Here is a 22,924-nt window from a genome sequence, read left to right as displayed (position 1 = left end):
ATGTCTTATGGAAAATCTAGGGGACAGGGCTCATCAAGTTATGACATTTAGACCTGTTCAATTTCCAGAGTAACTTAGAGTGTGGCAGGGGAGTTCCACCTCTTCTTTGTTAATTGCTCATATGCTGAGGATACTGAAGACTGGCTTCAGGGATGCCCTTTCAATTTTGCACACTTGTCCAGCCTTTTCCTGTGTTCAGTCCTCTCACATCGGCCTCCCTTGGCCTGGGATTGCGTCCACACCCTCCCTATTCCCACCAGTTCTTTCTGCAGCAAACAACCCATTCACTCTTCCATTTCAGTTTAACGGACACTTTCTCAGAAAACAAAAAAAAAATCATTTTTATCCTAATAATATGTTTCTTTGAAAAAACTCACTTTGTAGTTGTACATTTATTACTTGCTTTGTTCTATTCATAAAGTTGCTGCTATCTACTGAAACTTTACTATTTGTGTAGTTCATTGGAGGCACCGGGGAGTAAACTGGTGAGCACGCAGGCATCTCCTGGCCTCTTGGGGCTTACATTCTAGTGGGGACAGCAGAAAATAAACAGACCAGCCAGTGAGATGCCAGAAAATGATGGCGAACAGACACAGTGGAAGCAGACATGGCTGCAGGTGCCAGGCAGGCTCCTGTACTCTCTGATCAGCATCAGTCTCTGCCAGGAGGTGATGATTAAGCTGAGTGCAGACTGAGCAGGAGGAGTCAGCCCTGCATCCATGAGGGAAGTGGCCAAAACACTTCCCTCATGGGAATGTGGGACTAGCCAGCTGAAGGCCATGCCACTGAGCAGTCAAGTAAGAAGAGGACAGAGGTGAACACCGGTTGGGGCAGATGGAGGCCACAGCTGCCTCTCAGGGCCAGCCTGTGGGAGGAGGAGGAGGGGCATGGGCCAAAGTCAGGCGGACACAGCTGCTAGGAGCAGCTCCTCCAGAAGTGATTGAGGTAAGGGATGTGGAGGATGGATGCCACATCTGGAGGGCATGGGAGGTCAAGCAAGAAATTTTTGTTTGCTTTTTGTTTGTTTTAAGAGGAGAAAAGGAATTACCATTTCCTTGTCTATATTGCTCACTCCTGCAGGCAGGAATTCTATCTCTTTTCTGCCATTTTTATCCTTAAGGTCCCCCAGAATGCCTGGCATGGAGCAGGTTTGCAGAGTGAATAAACTAGAACTTTCCATAAGTGTTCCTAGTTTTTCATCACAAATGTTTAGGCTAATGCTACAGAGATTAGAGCCATATCCTTGTAATTCTAGGAGGCAGTGGAGGTTTTCATCAATACCTAAATAGGCTGGGGAGTGAGGAGAGATGGTGTTGGGGCGACGGGGCTGCCCCTGAGCAGGTCTGAGTGAGTCACTGCAGAACTTCAACTTAGCAAGATTTCTTACATCCATAGGCTTCTGACCCTTTCCATAACAGTGGCCACGAGAAGGTGAAGTGCGTGTCCATTATGTTTATAATGAGTTGGTTTTGGAGGTTTCTGATAATTTCTTACGAAATTGGAATTCATTAATTTTAGAAGAGTCGACTCATTCTATTCATGAAGAATGGAACACTTATTACTAAGAACAGAACACTTGTTTCAATACACGTATTTTCTCACACTTTCTCACACTATTGAAAATATTCCTGTACAGGTGGTACTATATGGGAAGATTTTTATTCCAAACAGTGTGTGTGAACAGAATGTAAATCTAGTCAAACAGAAGATCTTACATAAATTATACACTCCTACATAAAAGTAGAGTCAATATCAGTTGCTTTTTATATAATGCAACCATCTAGAAGTTTGGTTACAGAGTTTGTTTTGGATGGTCTCATGACTGGACTGCTGTCCTCCTGACCACTACAGTGAGAAGCTCCCGGCCCTTAGCAGCAGGAAGCATTCCAGGCTGTCTGATCATACCCAGGGTTGCAGTGGACTCATCCATAGGCTTGTTTGTGTGTTAATTTTAAATCCTTGGCTATTTACAAATTGAAATTATGTAGCACACAATGTCAAGATGTTACTAATTCAAATCATAGGCTGGGATTCAAATCAGTCCGGGATTATGGATGAAGATGCTCTACATAGAATGCTACTACAGTTTCCATTTCTCACTAGTCAGTTTGTTTGCTAACTCAAAGGGAGGGGGAGTTTGCAGTGGGAAGAGTTACCTTCCTGCAGGAAACAACCACGGAGATGCACAATCCTATAGGAAGCCCTGCCCCAAATCCTATGTGGTAACTCAGGGCAGACCCCCAAAAAGTTTTGTGGGAAGCTGGATTCTGAGATAGCATTTAAGTTTGTTTAGACCAGTTTGACAATTCTAACTTCATCACCTCTATAAACAAGTTTCATGTTTTCACTAATTTTTAGATTTTTCCATTTTAGCTATTATAGCCATCTTAATGAATTTTGAGGTGGATGTCATCTTTTGCAAGAATCAGTTTGGAATCTCAGGCTTGGAATTTAGAAAAGGAATCCAGGTTTAGAAATAAGTGTATTTTCTCACACTTTGATTTGACTTGAACAAAAATAAATTGGAGAAAATTTGCCAATGGCCATGGAAAAAGTTGGTTTATATTACTTTTCACTGTTATAAAAACAGTAAAGTGAATTAGACCCCTGTTGCTGGTGCAGCTAATGTGCATCTTGCTGCTCCTGTGACGTTTCCCCCCTGCCACCCGCCAGCTGGACAACAGCCTCCCCAGACACGTTCTGGGTCAGCTTTCTTGCTGCATCCATGTGTCTCTCTTGTTGGAAATCCAACCAGGGCCAAGTAAATCATCTGGGCCCTGATTGTGCAGATATTTTGGCAACTTCTTGGAAGGTCTTCATAGAGAAGAAGGCACAATGGCAAATGGTAACTCCTTTAGAATGTCAATGACTGGAGTTCTATAAGTTCTGGGTCTTCTATGCAAATGGTGGCTCTGTTCCTCTCTATAAAGATAACATTAAAGTTATATGTGCCATTTGTGTATTCTGAAAATCTTTTCCTTACTTGCCTTATAGAACCCTGAATCTTCTGCCCCTTCTCCTGGCTCTGTGATTATTCTTTTCCTGACTCCACTTCATCTGCCTTCCCCTCACATGTTGCTGTTTCTCTGGACTCTCCCCATGGAGAGTTAAGGGGAGCTTGTCAGGTCAGTGTAGAAGGGTAATGCCTGGAAACCAAAAAAGCCACCTCAGCTTTGTTGGTCGACCAGAGGTCAGTATGTGACAGTGAGTGCCATTGATCCTCGTTCACTGCGTGTTGCCATCTCGTCCATACTAACCATATGAATGTGATTAGGTGATCGTTCTGTGATAGATGGCTTCCAGTACAGGGACAGGCTTTTTTGTCTTTTTCTTTTTTAAAATCTTAATTGCATCCCATCAAAAAGGATATGAATTACGGTAGATTTTGCTTTGTGAAAAAGTGGTAATAACAAAACTGTTGTATTTTACTTTGATGTGTTAAGTTCTTCATCTTAAAATAAAACAGAGTAAGGCTCCTTAATTGTATCGTCGCACACTGTGGTTGAGGGCTCATTGCTCTAATATTACCTAGTCTGCAGTAAAGTTTAGCCTAAGATGTAGTTTTCTTGAACTCCAGACAGAGAGCTTAATTAATAAAGAAAAAAAGGGTCACAGTTATGCAGCGACTCTGAATACAGATTTCTGTGTCGTTATAGGATAATATATAAATTCAATAAATATTTAAAATAAAGTTGTGCTGCACTTGTAAGCTCTGGCTGTTCTCCACCCTTAAAGGTTTTGTGTTAACTGTTAAGAGGAAGTCACTACTGTGTTAATCAACAATGATTTGATGCAGAGGGCTGATTACGCCATATGGAAATAAGACAAAGCAATAAAAAACAAGACCATGAAGTGGGGGCGGGAGTGGCATCCATTCATGGCTTAAATAAAGTGCCTCAGTGGAATTGCATGTTGACCATGAGCATCAAAACCTGACTCCTAGAAATTCTTGGAAATAAGAACACAGTTCTTCCTTGTCATTTTATTAATCTCTCTTCTATTTAGAACTTTGTGGTGCTAAGATTAAATAGGTTTTAGGAGTACTCAAATCTAAGGAATTGGAGAAATCTGTGGAAAGAACTTAAGGAAATGCATATCTTCACTGTTCGATAAAGATGAAATTAGTGTTTTTTCACTGTAGCGTGCTCCATGATTTACTTCCCCCACCAACCTTCCCACCATGATTTTGGATGGCTTATTACTAAATCTGGAATGTTAAAAAGTGTCAAATAAAGTTGGATATATTAATAACTATACATCCATATTGTTTTTTTCACAGACCTTAAAAATATAGAGAGCCCCTTCTGTTTATAAATGTATGCAAATAGCTGACACAATTTGAATAGAATAAAACTTGAAAGATAAACACTTATTGGGATTCTGTGATATTAAATACAAAAGTAATGGTTTTTCACAGTTGAGATAATAAAAGAATAGAAGAGATTGAAGTACTAATTACAAGCCTCCCAACAAAGAGAAGCCCAGAACCAGATGGCTTTCTGGCTGAATATACAAAATATTCAAGGAAGAATTAATACCAATTCTTCTTGGAGTCTTCCAAAAAAACTGAAGTATAGGGAATACTTTCAAACTTATGCTATAAGGTTAGCATCACCCTGATACCAAAACCAGAAAAAGGCACCCCAAAAAGAAAGCTATAAGCCAATGTCTCTGATATAGACACAAAAATTCTTAATAAAATACTAGCAAATCAAATTCAACAACATATCAAAAAGATTATACACTAAGACAAAGTGAGATTTATCCCTGGGATACAAGGTTAACTAAACATTTGCAAATCCGCCAATGTGATACATTGCATTAGTAGAATAAAAGATAAAAACCACATGGTCACTTCAATAGATGCAGAAAAAGCATTTGATGAAGTTTAACATTATTTCATTAAAAAAACCCTCAACAAAATAGGTACAGAAGGAAATTTTTTCAATATGATAGAGGCCATTTATGAAAAACCTAGAGCTAACATAATTAATGGTGAAAAGCTGAAAGCTTTTTCTCGAAGATCCACTGCAAGGCAAGGGTGCCCCCTCTAACCACTTTTATTCAACATAGTACTGGAAATATTATCTAAGCTATAAGACAAGAAAAATAAATAAAAAGCAACCACATTTGAAGAGAAGCAGTAATTTTGTTTGCAGATGACATGATTCTACATGTAGAAAACCCTAAAGACCCAATAAAAAATATTAGAACTAATAAATGAATTCAGTAAGTTCCAGGATATAAAAATCAACACACAAAAATCATTTGTATTTTTTAAGGCATAGCAATCTCTCTGAAAAAGGAATAAAAAACAATAATTCAATTTAAAATAGCATCAAGAATAAAAAATATTTCACAATAAATTTAACCAAGGAGATGAAAGAGCTCTATACTGAAAACTGTAAAACATTGATGATGGAATTTGAAGAACATGCAAATAAATGAAAAGATATCCCATATTTATTACTGGAAAGAATCAATATTATTAAAATATACATACCATCTGAAGCAATCTACAGACTCAATGTAATATTTATCAAAAATTGAATGGCATTTTTACAGAAATAGAATAAAAGACAATTATAAAATTTATGGAACTACAAAGGACCCAAAATAGCCAGAGCAATCTTCAGATAGAAGAACAAAGTTGGAGGCATCATATTTCCTGATTTCAAATTATATTATAAACCTATAGTAAACAAAACAGTATAGTATGGACACATAGACCAGTAGAACAGAATAAAGAGCCCAGCAATACCCACAAGCATATAGAGTCAACTAAGTTTTGACAAGGGTACCAAGAAGACACAATCGGGCAAGAATAGTCTCTAATAAATTGTGTTGGGAAAACTGGATCACCGCATGGAGAAGAATAAGAATGCACTCTCATCTTACACCATGTACAAACATCAGCTCAAAGTGGATTAAAGACATAAGTGTACCCTTTACTATAATAAGTCTTAGGACACAAGCGTATGCTCAGTCCTGTGAGTTCTCTTAGCAGATCACTTAACCTAGGGGTTATCTAGGGAACCCCAGACACAGACACAGGAATAGAAGAACATTGTTGTGCTTTTCCTTCTTAAATTAAAAATATTAACTTACATATATCTGATCAATTATTTTGTAAATTCTCATATATAATTGTATTAAAAGATTAGTCAAATATATTATTTAAGACATCTGGAAAAGCACTAACCTATCTCTGAACACAGACTTGGACACTGAACTAAAATGGACTATGAGGTCCTTACTCATTAAGGAAGAAACTCATTGGCCAGTGTGGTCAGTATAGTTTGTATTTTGGAAAATATTCTTCTAATTGTGATTGTAGTTTGTATGTTAAAACTTCTCCAGGTTGCAGAGTTAGTTGATGGATATGACAAACAGGACAATTAAACGATAGCTGACATTTTAACTATACCAGAAGCTACATATGCAGTATCTCATGTAGTTTTTCAGCAACCTTCCAGGTTAGACACTACTATAATCTCCAGTTTACCAATGTGGACACTGAGGTCAGAAGAGAGTAAGTGACCTGCAAATGTCACTCAGCCGGTCAGTGGCAGAGACAAGTCTCATGGCCAGTGGACGGCACAGCTCCTCTTATGCTCATCCTGTGACAATTGCTCTGCAATGGGAGCCAGCCATGGCAGCCAGCGGAGATGCTGCTGAGGAAGACAAGCTTGCATTATCAATGCCTGTCATCAGAAGACAGAAGGGACGCTCTTCCCACTGCTCAGTGGCCGAGGGCTGCCTCTCCTATCTTGAGTGTTTATGCTGCGTATCTGCAATCAGGAGAAAGAAGCAGGGTGAGGTTACTTGAACTTTAGTTTGGAGAGGGAGGCAGAGACTAATTAGATAAATGTGTAAAATGCCAAGCTTCTGACACCTTTTCCTTTCCCTTGCCCTCTTCTCTCTCAAGCTCAGAAGTAGCTGATGAGGGGTAGTTTGGTGGGGGAAAGAATCATTCCTTATCATTTTCTTCAATCAGCTCCTGAATTGTCCTAATCATCTTCTCTGTTATTGTCCTAATAACACAACTGTGACATAAAAAAGAAAATTAATTTCCCTTTTATCAAACTACTCTGAAATTTCATTTTCTCCGAGTGCCATCTATTTGATTTTGGAAAGAGCCATCTTAACGTTGTTTTGATGATTTAGAGAACACCACAAAAGTGGTTCTGAGGATGGAAAAATTACTCATGAATGATGTGGACAACTTTCAAATGAGATGAGTAAATTTACCTGGCTCTTGCATGTTTTCTTGTTAGGCAATATTTCTCTCCACATTTAATTTGTTTTCAGATGTTGTGAGTACTTTAAAGGCTAATTTATTGACTCTGCATGTTGGGGACCCTGAAGAACATTTTCGGAGAAGGGAAACAGTATCACCACAGTTTTAGAAATAACATACATGCTAATCTGAGTCTCAGAGCTTTGCCAGTCAACCATGGCAGGATCTCATCAATGATTTCTTTCCTAGAAACCATTTGGCTTCTCCCAGAGTTTCTGCAACAAACACTGTAGGGTCCCATAGGGTTTTGATAGTGTAGCAGCACCTAGAAGCCCTCTGATCTGTTTAATCTGTGTCTAGGCATTTGGCCAAATGGCAGCTAACATATCAATGCACACACTTAGTGCTGCAAGTCAGCTGCTCTCCAGTTAAAACAAGAAAATGAAGGAAAAAAACCTAATGATTCATGTATTTTAAAAAACCTCTTGGCCGGGAACGGTGGCTCGTGCCTGTAATCCCAGCACTTTGGGAGGCCGAGTCAGGTGGATCACGAGGTCAGGAGATCGAGACCATCCTGGCTAACACGGTGAAACCCCCATCTCTACTAAAAATACAAAAAATTAGCCGGGCGTGGTGGAGGGGCACCTGTAGTACCAGCTTACTCGGGAGGCTGAGGCAAAAGAATGGTGTGAACCCTGGAGGCGGAGCTTGTAGAGAGCCAAGATCACGTCACTGCACTCCAGCCTGGGCAACAGAGTGAGACTCTGTCTCAAAAAACAAAAACAAAACAAAAACAAACAAACAAAACACCTCTTGCTGCTTCTAAAACTGGAGTCCATAGGTACATAAGTGTTCCTTCTCATAATCACTCAGCTTGTATACTGTGGCGATTTGCCCATGAAATGGCCTATGTAGGCACTGACCATTACTGTCGTCACAGCCTGTAGCTGGTATCCAAGCAGCAAGTGTTGCCAGATATTGAATTAAAAAATAAAAGACTAAGTGCTTTGAATCAGAGAAAGCCTGTTTTTATAGATCATCCCTTAGATGTTGAAAGGAATAGAGAATGAACAGTGGTTGGTAACTTCAAACAGAGGTATAACAGTGAGTCTGGGAGAAAATGTCGCATTATTATTACCATTAGCTCTAGATTGAGCACATGTATAAAAGGTTACAACCTTAATACACCAAATACTCCGTTCTTAGCATTAGTATTCTAAAAATTGCAAGGGCTACATTTCCTTTCCCTGCCTCTTATTAGCATCTTTGCCTTGGGGAGGATATATAATTTAGATAGTCAATGGCTTTAAATAGTGCTCAAAGTCATGAAACCAGGGAAGGAAAGTGGAGAAAGAAGGCAACCAAGGACTGAACCCATAGCAACACCAACATTTACGACTTTACTGAGAATGACAAGTCAGCAAAGGAAATCTAGTTAAACAATGAGTGAGGTCAAGGGGAATTTAAAACAATGTGTTGGCAAGGAAAACAGAGAGCAGCATTTCTGAAAAGATTCACTCAACACGCACTTTCACAAGAAATTGACTGAGCACCTATGATGTGCTTGGGATTCAGAAATGAACAAAATAAACAAAATCTCTGCCCTCATGGAGCTTATTTTAAACAGAGACAAATAACTCAAAATAAAGTTAATTGAAACATTAGATGTGGAAAAGTAAAGCAGAAATAAAGAATGGAGGGCAAGGACTTCAGTGTTAGAAACTCATGCAAGATGAAGAGAGTAAGGGTCCAGTAAATTTGAAAGTTGTGGGGAAAATACCCAGGGAAGGTATTTTTCATGGAAGATCTGGGGTGGAGACAGACTGGAGTGAGTTGAGGAGGGACTGAGCTCAGGAAATGTTAACCTGTCTGGGGAACCGCTTCCAGATGATGGACTCTGTGGGGGCGAGAATGGGGGAGAGACACAGCAGAACAGATGAGGATGCTAGGTGGGCAAGGATCTTTTACTGTGGACTTTAGCTTGTATTTTTTTTTTTGCACTTGCCACAGGGAAATGCACCTGTGAAATTTCTAGCCTCCCTCAACCCTCCTCACCATCCATCTTCACCTGCTCAAGATCATACTCCTCCCTGGGCCTTGGAGGAGCCCCTGTTTCTATCTAGCCCATCCCTGATCCTCTGAGATTCAGACCTAGAGCCTGGGCCAAGAGGCTGAGGGAAAGGGGAGGACTTGGCTGAGGGGCTGAGTTGGTCCCCCGAATAAAGTACCAAAGGAAATGGAGAGAAGGTGCAAGCTAGCGAAGAAGGGGGTGACAGCATCACATTGTTGATAGGGTGCAAGGGGACTGTCATTTGAGAAAAAACAACCACCAGAGAGGCGAGAGAAGCAATGACAGACAGAAGCATTTTCAAGGGCCATGACTGAGATCCATTGTGTTCAGTGGTTTTCAAGAGGTGTGAGGTAAAGATGAAATTCTATTTTTAAGAATTTTGACTTTGTCTGGGTGCAGTGGCTCACACCTGTAATCCCAGCACTTTGGAAGGCCGAGGCAGGCAGATTATGAGGTCAGAAGATCGAGACCTTTCTGCTTAACACGGTGAAACCCCGTCTCTACTAAAAATACAGAAAAAAAAAAAAAGATTTAGCCAGGAGTAGTGGCACGCACCTGTAGTCCCAGCTACTCAGGAGGCTGAAGCAGGAGAATCGCTTGAACCCAGGAGGCTGAGGTGGCAGTGAGCCAAGACTGTGCCACTGCACTCCAGCCTGGGTGACAGAGCAAGACTCTGTCTCAAAAAAAAAAAAGAACTTTGACTTCTTAAGAACTTTGACTTTTTAGAGTGTTACTATTTTCAGTACAGATTAGAGTCCATGACCTCTGAATCTGACTTTTTTAAAGTTTACAACTACAGATGGGCATCATTTCACTGTGAAGAAAGAATGAGGGAGCTAGAGAGAGGTGTCCCCAAGTAGGGGAGGCTCTGAGGGACACAGCAGGTAAGGTTGGCCTAACCTCAAGGAAGAGAAAGGAGAAGCCCTGATGTGGACAGGGACCCAGAACCCACACCTATCATCTTCACTTAGTCTTTTCATGAACACCAGGAAGGAAACATGCCAGGGACCTTCCCCATGTTCCCTGTCTTCCCTTCCAAAAATATTTTAAATATAGAACATGGCCTTTTTACAGTTACTTGCTACCAATCATTATTAATTCAGAAGTCAGTATGACTCCCACAGTGATTTTGTAATAAAAGTGTTCTATGTACTCTAGAAATGTTGGTATTAGACTGACAACTGGCTCAACAACTAACTCAACAAATGCTGAAATCCCATTCCTCACTTTATCTCTCTGTGTAGTTTCTTACAGCTCCTGATTCAAGCCATTTAACTCGAGTTCTCAAAGAGGCTAGACTGCTAAGTGAGGGGCAGGCTGTGTAGTGTGACGGGTACCCCACCAGGTTACTTAAGCGTGTGTGTCTGCTGCCTGAACCTGGAAGGCCAGGCGGTGAGCCAAGGCCATGGTGCCCAGCTGAGGAGCAGGTGTCTCTGAGAAACCAAATATTCTGGAGTATATTTGAAAACCTACCAAGAAACACAGTCTCATTGTTCAAACACAGTAGGCAAAGAGCCAGAAAATTCACTTAAAAGCAGTTCACAGACAGAAGGTGGCACAGATTTCTAGAGCTGTCCTGCCGCCCTCCAGGAGTGCCCTGTAAGTAAGTCCTAATAAACTCAGCTACTCACCAAGCTGTGCTGGTCCATGTCATTCTTTGGTCTCTCAGCTCCTTCCCAGTTTGGGGGGATGTCGCAGTCCTAAGTTTTTCTCATAGCAGGCTGTAGCATTTTCCTTGACTAAGATGAATGAGACTTGAGAGGATAATAGGATTTTGCAGACCCCAATGAGATCCTTTCAGACACTGAAAATTAAGTAATGGATTTATCTCACTACCAAAAATTCTCTTTCTCAACATTTATATGCAATTTGCAACTACCTCAGTGTCATCAACAAACAATGAATTGTGAAAATTCTCACATTAAAATGTTTTCTAGTATTGAAATGATTTACTGTCATGGGAATTTATAAATCTAAACTTAATTTAAAACTTGTTCTAAATGTTTTCATATATGTAAGGGGTTACGTATAAAAGAAAAGGGAAAAGGTAGGATGAACTTCATAAATTATATAAAATTTAGTTGATTTTGAGTTTAATAATGTAATACATTTTCAGTTAATAATTCCAGTGAGTACTAACAATGGAGCCAACTCTTAATTATTTGTTACAACTTTTCTGCCTTTAAACCATCTCATTGACAAATTTAAAATAAAATCTGGCTTTCTTCTGCCTCCTCTGAACTCCTAATTAACCTGAATTTAAAGAAAAAAATTAGTTTTCTATTTTTTTCAGGCAAAAAATTAAAAAACATGCTATTAAAAAACAACTTATGTATGTCATACTACTTCAATTGTGTTAAATAACTATGTTGTTTGATTAAATAAGAACAATTAACTCTTGAATTATATTATGCTTTGCATTTAAATATGATTTCTTGATAATTTTAGTAGCTGTATAAGCCTAGTTCCAAATCCACAATACCTATGAGGCTATACTCTATAAGTGTGTCATTAGCCTAATTCATTCTAAAGGGGATGTAATCAGCTTCTGTCATTATGGAGTAACCAACCATACTGTTTTCTTTTTGGGTTGGCTTTCTACCTCTTTGCCTGTCTTTATCTGAGATCTATAGACTGTCAACCTTTCTCTCTAGTGTTTCTCATGATCAATATTGATCGAAAGTTGCCCAGGTGCTAAAGCAGTGTGGTCTGTGGACAAAAAAAAGAAAGAAAGAAAGAAAGAAAAAAGAAAGAAAACTGGCTCGTCTTGTATATAAATCCTGCTCGTCTCATATAAATCCTTTAGGTTTAATGGAAGCTGCTGGAGTTTAAGCACAACTCTCATCAAACCTACCAACTTTTTGCTTATACAAAAAAACCATATATTATTGTCTCTGTTCTAGATAATGATGTTGTTTTCCAAAGAAATTTTAATGATGTTTACCCAAATATATTTCTAAAGCTCAAGTCTAAATCAAAGTTTTCACTTTTATGGGAGAACCGTGGGATCTTGCTCCTCACAGAACATTTATAAGGCAAGTCTAATGTAGGTACATGTTTGTTGAAATTAACAATTTTGAAGCAGACTTAAGAATCCCTAGCAGTTATTTTTTTCTAAGATCATTCACTTATGAAAAGATCTACTTATCTTCTAATTGGAAGATGAATCTGCCAGTGTTATTATAAAAGGATATTTTCAGTCAATCCATTGGTAATAAAGATTTCTAATTAAAAAAATTGTTCTCCATCCCCTTGCATTTCATTTACTGTGATGAGACACACTTTACAATTAATGTTTGTCCATTATTTCTTTCCATAGAAAATGCTGGATATGTCTTCAAAAGAGTTTTATCCAATTCTATTTTTGTCACTGAAAGAGGTGGTATGGTAAGATTCTACTGTAAAGTTGAATGTAATTGTATCTCCTAATACATATTATGAGGTTGGATGATAATTTTTAAAATAAAACTCAGGAGAGAAAATGCTACCATTGATTTATTAACCACTAGGTCTAGTTTCTTCTGACTGTATTTTGGTACCCACTAATCAGTCTCTCTTGATCTCCCGCTTCCCTCTACCATTCCTAGCCTCTGGTAACCACTAGTGCTTGGATTTAGGTGGTGAGCCTATGTCTCAATTTTTTTATGTAATGGTCATGCATTTACTCATAAAGTAAAATTAGAAACAAACTTTGGCCACTTCAGTATGAGATTTTCAGTCTTATCTCTTTTGCCTTCATATAAACTCAAATTTAACGTAGTTTCTGGCATCTGTATAAATATTAAAGCTAGAAATAAAATTGTAATTATTATAATTGAATGTATTCAGTAACCAAATAAATTCCATCTGCTGGAAGATTGGTTGTGACCTGTGTATAGTGCTTGTGTTAGTGTTAAAAATTAGAATTTTTATGACCCTTAGTAACCAGGGAGAAAGGTAGGCCCAGGGCTACCTGTCTTAAAGAGTCAATGACTGAGGACAGGCAGGGTGGGTGCCATGAACCACATGAAGAAACAGGAGATGAGCATGTGCTGGACAGGACCCTCTACACTTGGGAATGCTGTTGGAATTCATTGTGGTTACCATACCGAAGTGCAACAACTGCACAGCCCTTAGTCATCAATGAAGGTCAAGTCAAGGAACCTATTTCAGAAAGTACAAACTGAGTGAAAACACAAGGACATGTCTCTCAGAAAAGACTCTTCCAAATGTTCAGGCGAGGAATATCAGAAATAAAATTCAACCCACATGACAACCTAGAGCAATTTGGGAAGTCATCTACCACATTTTCCCACAGTTTCAACTTACTGATACAAATTAGAAGATTTTAAAGTCACTGGTTAAGTCATCTTGCTTTTCTTGCTCTTTGACTTTGTCCTTTGTAACCTGTATTTCTCATTCAATTTGGATGTAATAACTATAATCCAAAGGAAGTTTGGCAGTTTTGTAACTGTCTCTTAGAATTATAGCTCCTCATAATTTCTGAATATCTGTTTATATGATTTTAATATTGTAGTCTAATGACTCAACTTCAAAACATCACTCCTGCTATGTGACTTATTTCACTGTCACTGAAACAGTCAGTGAAGTCATTTCCCATTCAATAATTAAGCAAGATCCTTTCAAGAGCCTTTACCTGATCATCTGTTTAGTTTTGATCATATTCTTTTGATTGTGAGGAAGTGATACGTACTTTGGTTGCATAAAGTACTAGGCATAATGCAAAGAAACATGTTTCTGCTCCCACAGTTGATGTTCACTTGTCTCTGCTTCTTAGTTTCCTCTTCTAAAAGAGAATCTCATTGGCCCACCTCATCGCTGTCATTCTGGTTCTGCAGAGCTTTCCAGTGGAGGTCACGTGGAAAGCTGCTGGTCAGCTTGTGGCCATTCTTGGGTAAGGGTCAACGACTGACTGGGAGAATAGGAGCAAAGTTACACAGGACAAAATCAGGGACGTGGTTCTTCAACAGGAGCAGGGAAGATAACCTCAGAAGAGGGCCATGGGCCTGGCATTCAGTTTAGCAAGGTTTTAAATGGAAACACCTGAAGGTCTATTGGAGGCCCCTCCCCCACCTCAACCTGACACTTACACCCACTCCTGCAAAACTCTGAAGATAAGTTTTAATGTTAATGGTTTAAAAATAAAATATATCTCCTACTGCTGCAATCATTATGACTGTTTACATTTTAATGGGGAGGGGGATATTTTTCTCTGGTTGAGCTGCACAAGTAATTGCATTGATTATTTGCTTTATGTCTGGTTATTCAGACCTGCCTGAATTTATTTTCCATTTGCTCCAGTGCTCCATAAGTAAATGTCTACACTGAAAAAAAAAAGTAATGTAGTAGAGGGGAGCAAAGGAAAAATGCTACATATTTTATGGCATTCAATAGGTAATTCTCTCCATGAACCAAAAATGAATAAACAAACAATGTCCCAACTTGACAACATTAAAAATCTAAGGGCCATAGGCCAGGTGCAGTGGCTTATGCCTGTAATCCCAGTACGTTGGGAGGCCGAGGCAGACAGATCACTTGAGGTCAGCAGTTTGAGACTAGCCTGGCCAACATGGTGAAACCCTCAACTCTACTAAAAACATAGAAATTAGCCAGGCATAGTGGTGCACACTGTAATTCCAGCTATTCAGGAGGCTGAGGTGGGAGAATTGCTTTAACCTGGGAGGAAAAGGCTGCGGTGAGCCAAAATGGCACCACTGCACTCCAGCCTGGCCGACAGAGTGAGACTCTGTCTTAAAAAATAAATAAATAAGTAAAACATAAGAGTCATTGCCATGTCTCTTTGAAGCCCTTATGGATTTAACAAATTCCCTGTTAGGTGAATCCTTCGGAAGGAATCTTTCTAAAGTCACCTACAGGTGGCGAAGTGAATGCATCTCTCCCATAGAAGACATTGCATCTCTGACACTCAGTTATTTAGGACTACTAGGGGGAGTTTTATAATTTTTTCTCTTACATTTAGGTGGATGATCCATTTTGAGTTAATTATTGAATATGATGTGAGGCAATGATCCAACTTCATTCTGTTGCACGTGGATAATCAGTAGTCCCAGCATTATTTGTTAAAAAGAATTTTCTTTCCCCATTGAATTGTCTTGGAAACTTTGTCACAAATCAATTGATTATAAATGTGAGAGGGTTTATTTCTGGACTCTCAATTTTATCCATTACTCTATGTGTCTGTTCTTATGTCGATACCATGCTGTCTAGATTTCTATTGTTTTATACTTTTATATTGGGAAATATGAGTCCTTCAACTTTGTTTTTTTTTTCAGGATTGTTTGCTTATTCAAAGTCCTTTGCATTTCTATATGAATTTCAAGATCACTTTGTCAATTCAAAAATGCCAGCTGGAATTTTGACAGGGCTTGCATTTAATATGTAGGCCAATTTGGAGAGTATTTTCATCTTAACATTATTAAGTCTTCTGATCCATAAACATCGGGTGTTTTTACATTTAGTTAGATACTCTTTGTTTTCTTTCAAAAATATTTTCTAGTATAAGAATATAAGTTTTACACTTCTTTTTGAATTTGTTTCTGATAATTTTATTCTTTTTGATGTTATTATAAATGGAATTTACTTCTTAATTTCATTTTTAGATTGTTCATTACAAATGTCCAGAAGTACAATTGACTTTTATATGTTAAGCTTGCATCCAGTAACCATGCTAACCTCTTTTGTTAGTTCTAATAGATTTTTGCTGAATACCTTAAGGTTTTTTTATATACAAAATCCTGATATTTGCAAATAGAGATAGCTTTACTTCTTTCTTTATAATTTGGATACTTTTAATTTTGTCCTCTTGACTAACTGCACTGCTAAAACCTCCAGTACAATGCTGAATAGAAGTAATAAGTATGGACAGCCTTGTTTAGTTGCTGATCTTAGGGAGAAAGCCTCTAATCTTTCACCTTCAAGTCTGATATTAACATTTTAAAAAAATAGATGCTCTGAAATTGAGGAAGTTTCCCTCTATTCCTTGTTTGCTGAGTGCTTTTATCATGAAGGGATCTCAGATTTTGTCAAATAATTTTTATGTATCAGTTAATATGATCATGTTTCTCTTGTCTTTATTTCTATTGGTAAAGTGTATTGCATTAATGAATTTTGATATTAACCTCCCCTGTATTCCTAGGATGAATCCTACTTGATCATGGTATATGATTGCTTTTATATGTCGCTGTTTTGGGTTCACTAGTATTTTGGTAAAGATTTTTGTGTCTGTATTCAAAAGAGATATTTGTCTGTAGTTTTCTTTGGATGTCTTTGTCTGGTTTTGATATCAGCTTAAACTGCTTTTAAAATAAACTTTCACAGGGAAGATGAGAGTTAAGGGTTCCCTTAAATAATAAAACAAAGAGATTTGACAGGCATAGAAATAAAAGAGTGATGTGTTAACTGTTAATATTGTAGCTCCCACTTTGAATCCATTAGAGGAAATGGGCTATTTCCAAATCATCATGCATTACTTAGGACACTTCCATTCTCCTTTCCACCAGGATGGAAATTGGAAAAACAGCTTTATAAGGCTGCAGTGATTAACACCAGCCAAATCTAAAGATAAACATTTCCTGGGCATATGGAAAGCAATGTTTATCTCTTGACTGTGTTTCAGCATAGAAAGTCGTATGTTTTCTTAACGTCTTTCTTTTTCTCTTTTTTATATTTTCCTTCTCTCCCTACCTCCCTCCCTCCCTTCTTTCCTTCCTTCCTTCTTTTTCTTTCCTCCCTCCCTCCCTTCTTTCCTCCCTCCCTCCCTTTCTTGCTTCCTACTTCCCCCCCTTCTCCTTCCCTCCTTCCTTCTTTTCAAAAGCAGCAGCTGCATAATCCCACAATTAGAGACTAATCAGATTATTTTTATCTTGGTTTATAATATTTTCATTCCCTTTTTGAAACATGTAATTAGCCAAAATATACTTCTTGCAATTTCTTTTATGGTTTTTAAATGGAGTTATTCTTACTAAAGGATATTCCTAAGGATGTTGTTAGGTAACACCATAGCTGTCATGAACATCAATAATAAGTTGAAATAATGCTTAGGATGGGTAGAGCTAATGTCTCTTAGAGCAGCTGTATGATGAGAAGCAATGTTCTTATGATTCTCTCTGCCTTAGCCTTCAGATAAGAAAATGCCTTTTCAGAGATGCTGAGGGCATGATGCTTTGCTAATGAGACATTTATGAAGAATCAATGCAGTCTTTACTAACTTCCTGAGACAAGAATATCTGAAATTGTAATTATGAAGAAACTGATCCTTGGAGACCAAATAAAAGTCAATATGAACAACAAAAAAGTATTTTTTTTTCATTTTTCCATCTTGGCTGACGTTAGTAAGTGCTAAATCATTAAACAGTTGGAATGAATGGAAAGCAGATGCTTGTTCATCTATTTACCATCCATCATTATCATCCTCATTAGCATTATGTTAGCTAAACCCACGTATCAAAAATCTTGATGTTCAAGTATGTCCTGTGCACGTTCTGGATTTCTGAATCCAGCAAAACCCTAAAATATGTTTAACATTTGAGAACAATTTTGAGGTTAAACCAGTGTTGTCATTGTAGACCCAATTTCCTGCTTTTAATTCAAATACTCAGCCCCAGAAAAATATAATAAAAGTAACTAAATGTGCAACCCTTTCATACTTAAAATGAAGTCGAGAAAGTCGAAAGGAAAATTTGGATAAGAAAGAGGATGTCTTTCCTGAACTAGAAAGTATGTGTGAACATTCCTACACTGTCTTTTTTTTTTTTTAAGTTTAAAACCAAACACATTTCCATTTAATGACAGGAATTTAAGCAGAGACCCGAAGTGGAATCAGCTTCACACAGCAGTAAATACACAGTAGAGCAATGATTTTGGCTTCAGCTGTCTGGTTCAGTGGTCTGCTGGAATGTCATACACAGGTTAAGTCACACTGCAGATTATTTTCTAGCTGTGGCCACTGGCTGTCACTTCTAGCATAGTAGAACTGTGTTAGGAGGAATGGGAAAAGTGAGCTCCACTTCTCACCATGTTCCACCTCTGCCTGCCAGTTTCTCTTTGCTCCCATGTTGGATGCGGCAGAGATCACCCACCAACTGGCCCAGGACAGACAAATAGGAAGGGTCCAATCACGCTGTTCTCCAACTACAGCCAGACTCACTTCCACAACAGTCTCTGTGGCTTTAGCCTGGACTTCTTTACAGGAACCCAGCTCTGACACTGGCAGCTGCAGAGGGTAATAGGACCTCCTGCTAAATGAAGGAAGTTGGGTGAATGAGTGGGTGAGCTGCAGGGTTCACTTGTGAAGGAACCAGGAGTGATAAAACATTGAGCGTTGTCTACAATTAGCAGGTGGCACGTAAAGTTATAAAGGTTTGAGCCCAGTAGAAGTTGATTTTAATTGTCACAAATTAATGTAAAGGCTTTTATCGACAGCATTTTTCATGTATTTTTGCCAGGAATAAAACCTCCAGTGGTTAATTATTTGAATGCCTAAATATCTTTCTGGAATTTTAGGGGAAACATCTGACCCTTCATATTGTAAGTGTTCTCTAAGCTTAATTAGTGGAATTTAGAGTTTCATTTAAAGATTCAATATGAACATTTAATTAATTTCTAAAATCTGACTTTGTCCTCTGCAAAAGAACACTGGTTCAAAGTGAAAAATAGTTTCAACCGTAGAGACCTTCACTTGTCCTTGGTAAATTGGGTCTTTAAAAGGCAATTTTCATAATGAGCTGCTGCTTTTTGAGTTAAACTATAATTTTTTCCTCAATTAGAAATTGTATTAATTACATAGTGTTGGCATTTTTCAGTATCTCTGGGCAGCATTCATTTCTCTCTGCATGACTTGGATACAAGCCAGTTGTCTTGGGATTTGTTGTGTTGCTGACCTGCAGTGGTTCACCTGGAAGCTTGTCTTTGGGACCTTCTAACTCTCAGAGTTGGGGCCCCTTCACCCACACCTCTAGTTCCTCCAATTCTGGGGCCCTCCTGGCCTTCACCTCTCACCCAATTTGAGTGACCTGGCCTTTGACATCTTCTCTTGTGATCAGTCCTTTGCTCTGGTGCCTGAGCTTTGTCCTGTGTCCTAAGACACATCCCCATCTAAGGAATCAGAGCCCCTCCTGTGCCCTGTGGTTAGTGCCCACTCCTTCCCGCCTCATCTTCAGGCACAGACCTCTGTTTCCCCTGGTCCTCTGCCTCCTGCTTTCTGCCTGGATCCATGGCCACAGTCTATGTGGTTGGCTAAAGGATGTATAACCAGGGTTGAGACTGGGCTGCCTCTCAGCCACCTACATCCCAGTTAGGGAAAGCAGTGGATTTGGTTAAGGCTCTGTATTAGTCTGTTCTCACACTGCTAATGAAGACATAGCTGAGACTGGGTAATTTATAAAGGAAAGAGGTTTAATTGAGTCACAGTTCCACATTGCTGGGGAGGCCTCACAATCATGTTGGAAGGTGAATGAGGAGCAAAGTCATGTCTCACATGGTGGCAGGCAAGAGAACTTGTGCAGGGGGACTCCCATTTATAAAACCATCAGATCTCATGAGACTTACTCACTATCATAAGAATAGCTTGGGAAAGACCCACCCCCATGATTCAACTGGGTCCCACCCACAACACATCAGAATTATGGGAGCTACAATTTAAGATGAGATTTGGCTGTGGACACAGCCAGACCATATTAGACTCATAATTTGCCTTCTGCACAGTAAGAACTGGGCTGGGATACCTCATAGATCATAAACAAATCCGCACCCATGAAAAGATTTAGAGAGTCACACAGGAAAGTCAACAGAAGCCAGAGAGATGAGGGTCCTGGACTGCATGTCATTAGTGTGGATCCTTCAGCTTCACATCTCAGCAGTGGGTCAGAACTTAAACCTATTGTTTCTCTGCATGAATGTTTAAGAGCATATGTCATGCCTGACCCTCAGATGTCAGCTAAGGCTTTCTTGCTTCCCAGATATTGGGCTCCTTATTTCTTTTATGCCTAGGATGTCCACAGTCCTCCCCATTATTTCTCTTATCAATCCCTAGGGTTAGACTCACCAAGTCCTGTCTACGCGAGGCGGGATGTGCTTCTTTCACTGTTGAACAAATGCAGTCTCAGTCCTCTCACTTGTTCCTGTTTTCAAAGAAACAAACAAAAACAAACAAGTTACATCAAGCATCACATGAGTTTCGAAGCTCCTACTGAAGGTTCAATGGTGGCAGGGAAGGGTTTATAGAGCAGTAAGCAGTTTTCTGCCATCTCCCTGGCTTCCATTCTCTACCACTCACTCTTTTCTTCACTCTTTCTGTTCCTTTTACCAGGAAGGCACCAAAACTACTCCCTGGTCTTATACAGAGGCTCCTGTCTTGTCTGACCCCCAATCCAATGTTCAAACCCTGGTTGTAGAGGTACCATTTCAAATTTGGCTCCAGGCATTGCCCAAGAAAGTCAGCACACTTCCTGAGTTCTGCTGTGAATCACAGTGTGTTGTCTTCATCCTCTCACCTGTTACCAACACATTCCTATCGTAACATATTAGCATCTAAACGTAGCGGCCTACCTTGTTACTGTGTATGTGTGTATCTGCAGGTGTCTGTGCATATGCACAACGTGGCCCGAGTGACCCGCCCAGCTATCTTAAAATGTAGTTTAGCAAGGGCCAGTAATTTACTCTTATTTGTATTTGTTTGTGTCTTTTGAGTTCAACACAAGTTATCTGTTTTATTAATAAATAATAAATACATAAATAATATGGTATTAAACATATGTACTGAATATAAAGTAATGAAATGAAAATGTTATGTTACCTCCCACCCAAATTTACCCACAACCTCATCAGCAGTTTTGATGTCTACTCTGAACGCTCTTCCTACCCATTGTCCTCTGCTTTGGGTAACGATTATTACCCCCCTTTCTTTTATGATTTTGCCACATAAAGACATGGTTGCAGTGTCACTTAGCATTGTGTGGTTTGACCTGGAGGCAAATGGAAAGATATACATTCTTGTGTGACTTGCTATTTTTCATTTTTATTTTGTCATGCAGATAACCAAGATTTCTTAGTCTTCACCACTATACAATGTCCCTTTGTAATCCTGAATTTCATGTTATTCCATTGATTGTCATATGTGATGTTTCCAGTTTTTTGCTAGCACCAACAGTGCTGCTATGGCTATTTCTGTCCAGGTCTCCTGGTGTAGGGATTTTCCTAAGTCAGGGCTTCCCAATGATGACAACCACAGGAAATAATATTGTTTGTATGGTTCGTTGGGAAACAAAGCTGTTTGTGATGGCTGCAGGAGTAGAAGCCTTCTCCAAGTTGGAAGGCATCAATATCTTGGTGTACCTGTAACACTTCCTGGACCTAAGGGCTGAGCAGGTGAGTGCCAGGTGTGGAAAGACTGGTCCATCAGGGCTCTGAGTACTAACTCTGCTACAGCTTTCTAACTTGTGTCCAAACTCTTTTCACAGACCTCAGTAGTTCAATTACATTTGAACCAATTAATTATATTGTGAAAGCACGTATATGCAGAACCCTTCTCTGGATTCCAAATATAACATTCGCAGTTACCCATCACAACTTTATATGGTTTTTATCAAATGCTGAAGAATCAAACCATGTAGGAGCTTTGAGCATTTCTGCCTCTATGGAAGAGATGGGCTGGGACAGATAGGATGAATCACTGACTCCAACACAATGCACCACCCTTTTAAATGATACTGAACCCTACATGTCCACAAGCCATGGTCTCTAATACTTTGGTCAAGCCAACCTCCCTTCCTCACATGCCCTCATTTTCTTCTATGTTTGGCAAATACTTGCTCATTCCTCAAGATACAGTTGAAAAGTGTACGCTTATAAAAAAGAATGAGATCATGTCTTTTGTGAGAACATGGATGGAGCTAGAGGCTATTAATCTCAGCAAACTAACACAGCAAGAGAAGGTCAAGTATCACATGTTCTCACTTCTAAGTGGGAGCTAAGTGATGAGAACTTATAAACACAAAGAAGGGAACAACAGACGGTGGGGGCGACTTGAGACTGGAGGGTGGGAGGAGGGAGAAGAGCAGAAAAGATAACTACTGGGTATTGGACATAATCCCTAGGTGATGAAAAAAACAAACCCCAGTGACATGAGTTTACCTGTGTAACAGACCTTCACATATACCTCTGAACCTAAAGTGAAAGTTAAATAAAAAATGTAGGCTTTCCTCTCTCCATCATCTCCCCATAGACAGATTATGCATTTTCAGATCCTGGAAGCTCTGCCTCTAGCCCACTTTCCTAAGTAGTTTGTGTGACCCTCCCTTTCTTCCTTCTAGGCTACATCCTGGTGGGAGGCAGGACACTGAAGTACTTAGAACCCCTCAGAATGGCCAGATCCTGCTCATGCTTGGGCTAGAAGAATGGAACCTTTGTAATTCTGGACTTGTAAATGGAAACACATCACTTACTGTGAACCACATCCCAGACAGACATGGGCAGGTGAAAACAAATTCTTCCAGGTAACTCATTTTTTTAAAATCAGAGGAAATTGGTGGACATTGAGTCCAGCCCCAAATATTAAACAAGCTTCTGAGTTTGATATTTTCGTAGCAACAGCAGTT

The 22,924-nt window shown here is 39.2% G+C and overlaps 1 long non-coding RNA gene across 1 annotated transcript in view; it reads left to right on the top strand.

Annotated features, from left to right (window-relative positions):
• LINC02226 (long intergenic non-protein coding RNA 2226) overlaps positions 1 to 22,924 on the top strand; it is a 124,082-nt gene that overhangs the window by 47,216 nt on the left and 53,942 nt on the right. Inside the window, exon 3 of the long non-coding RNA NR_039984.1 lies at positions 22,640 to 22,822. This is a non-coding gene — a long non-coding RNA (long intergenic non-protein coding RNA 2226). The remainder of the gene's footprint in view (positions 1 to 22,639; positions 22,823 to 22,924) is intronic.

The sequence above is a fragment of the Homo sapiens genome, chromosome 5, assembly GCF_000001405.40.
Source record: "Homo sapiens chromosome 5, GRCh38.p14 Primary Assembly".
NCBI classification, from domain to species: Eukaryota; Metazoa; Chordata; class Mammalia; order Primates; family Hominidae; genus Homo; species Homo sapiens.
The sequence above is the reverse complement of the archived record's forward strand: the minus strand, read 5'-3'. Positions and strand labels throughout refer to the sequence as shown.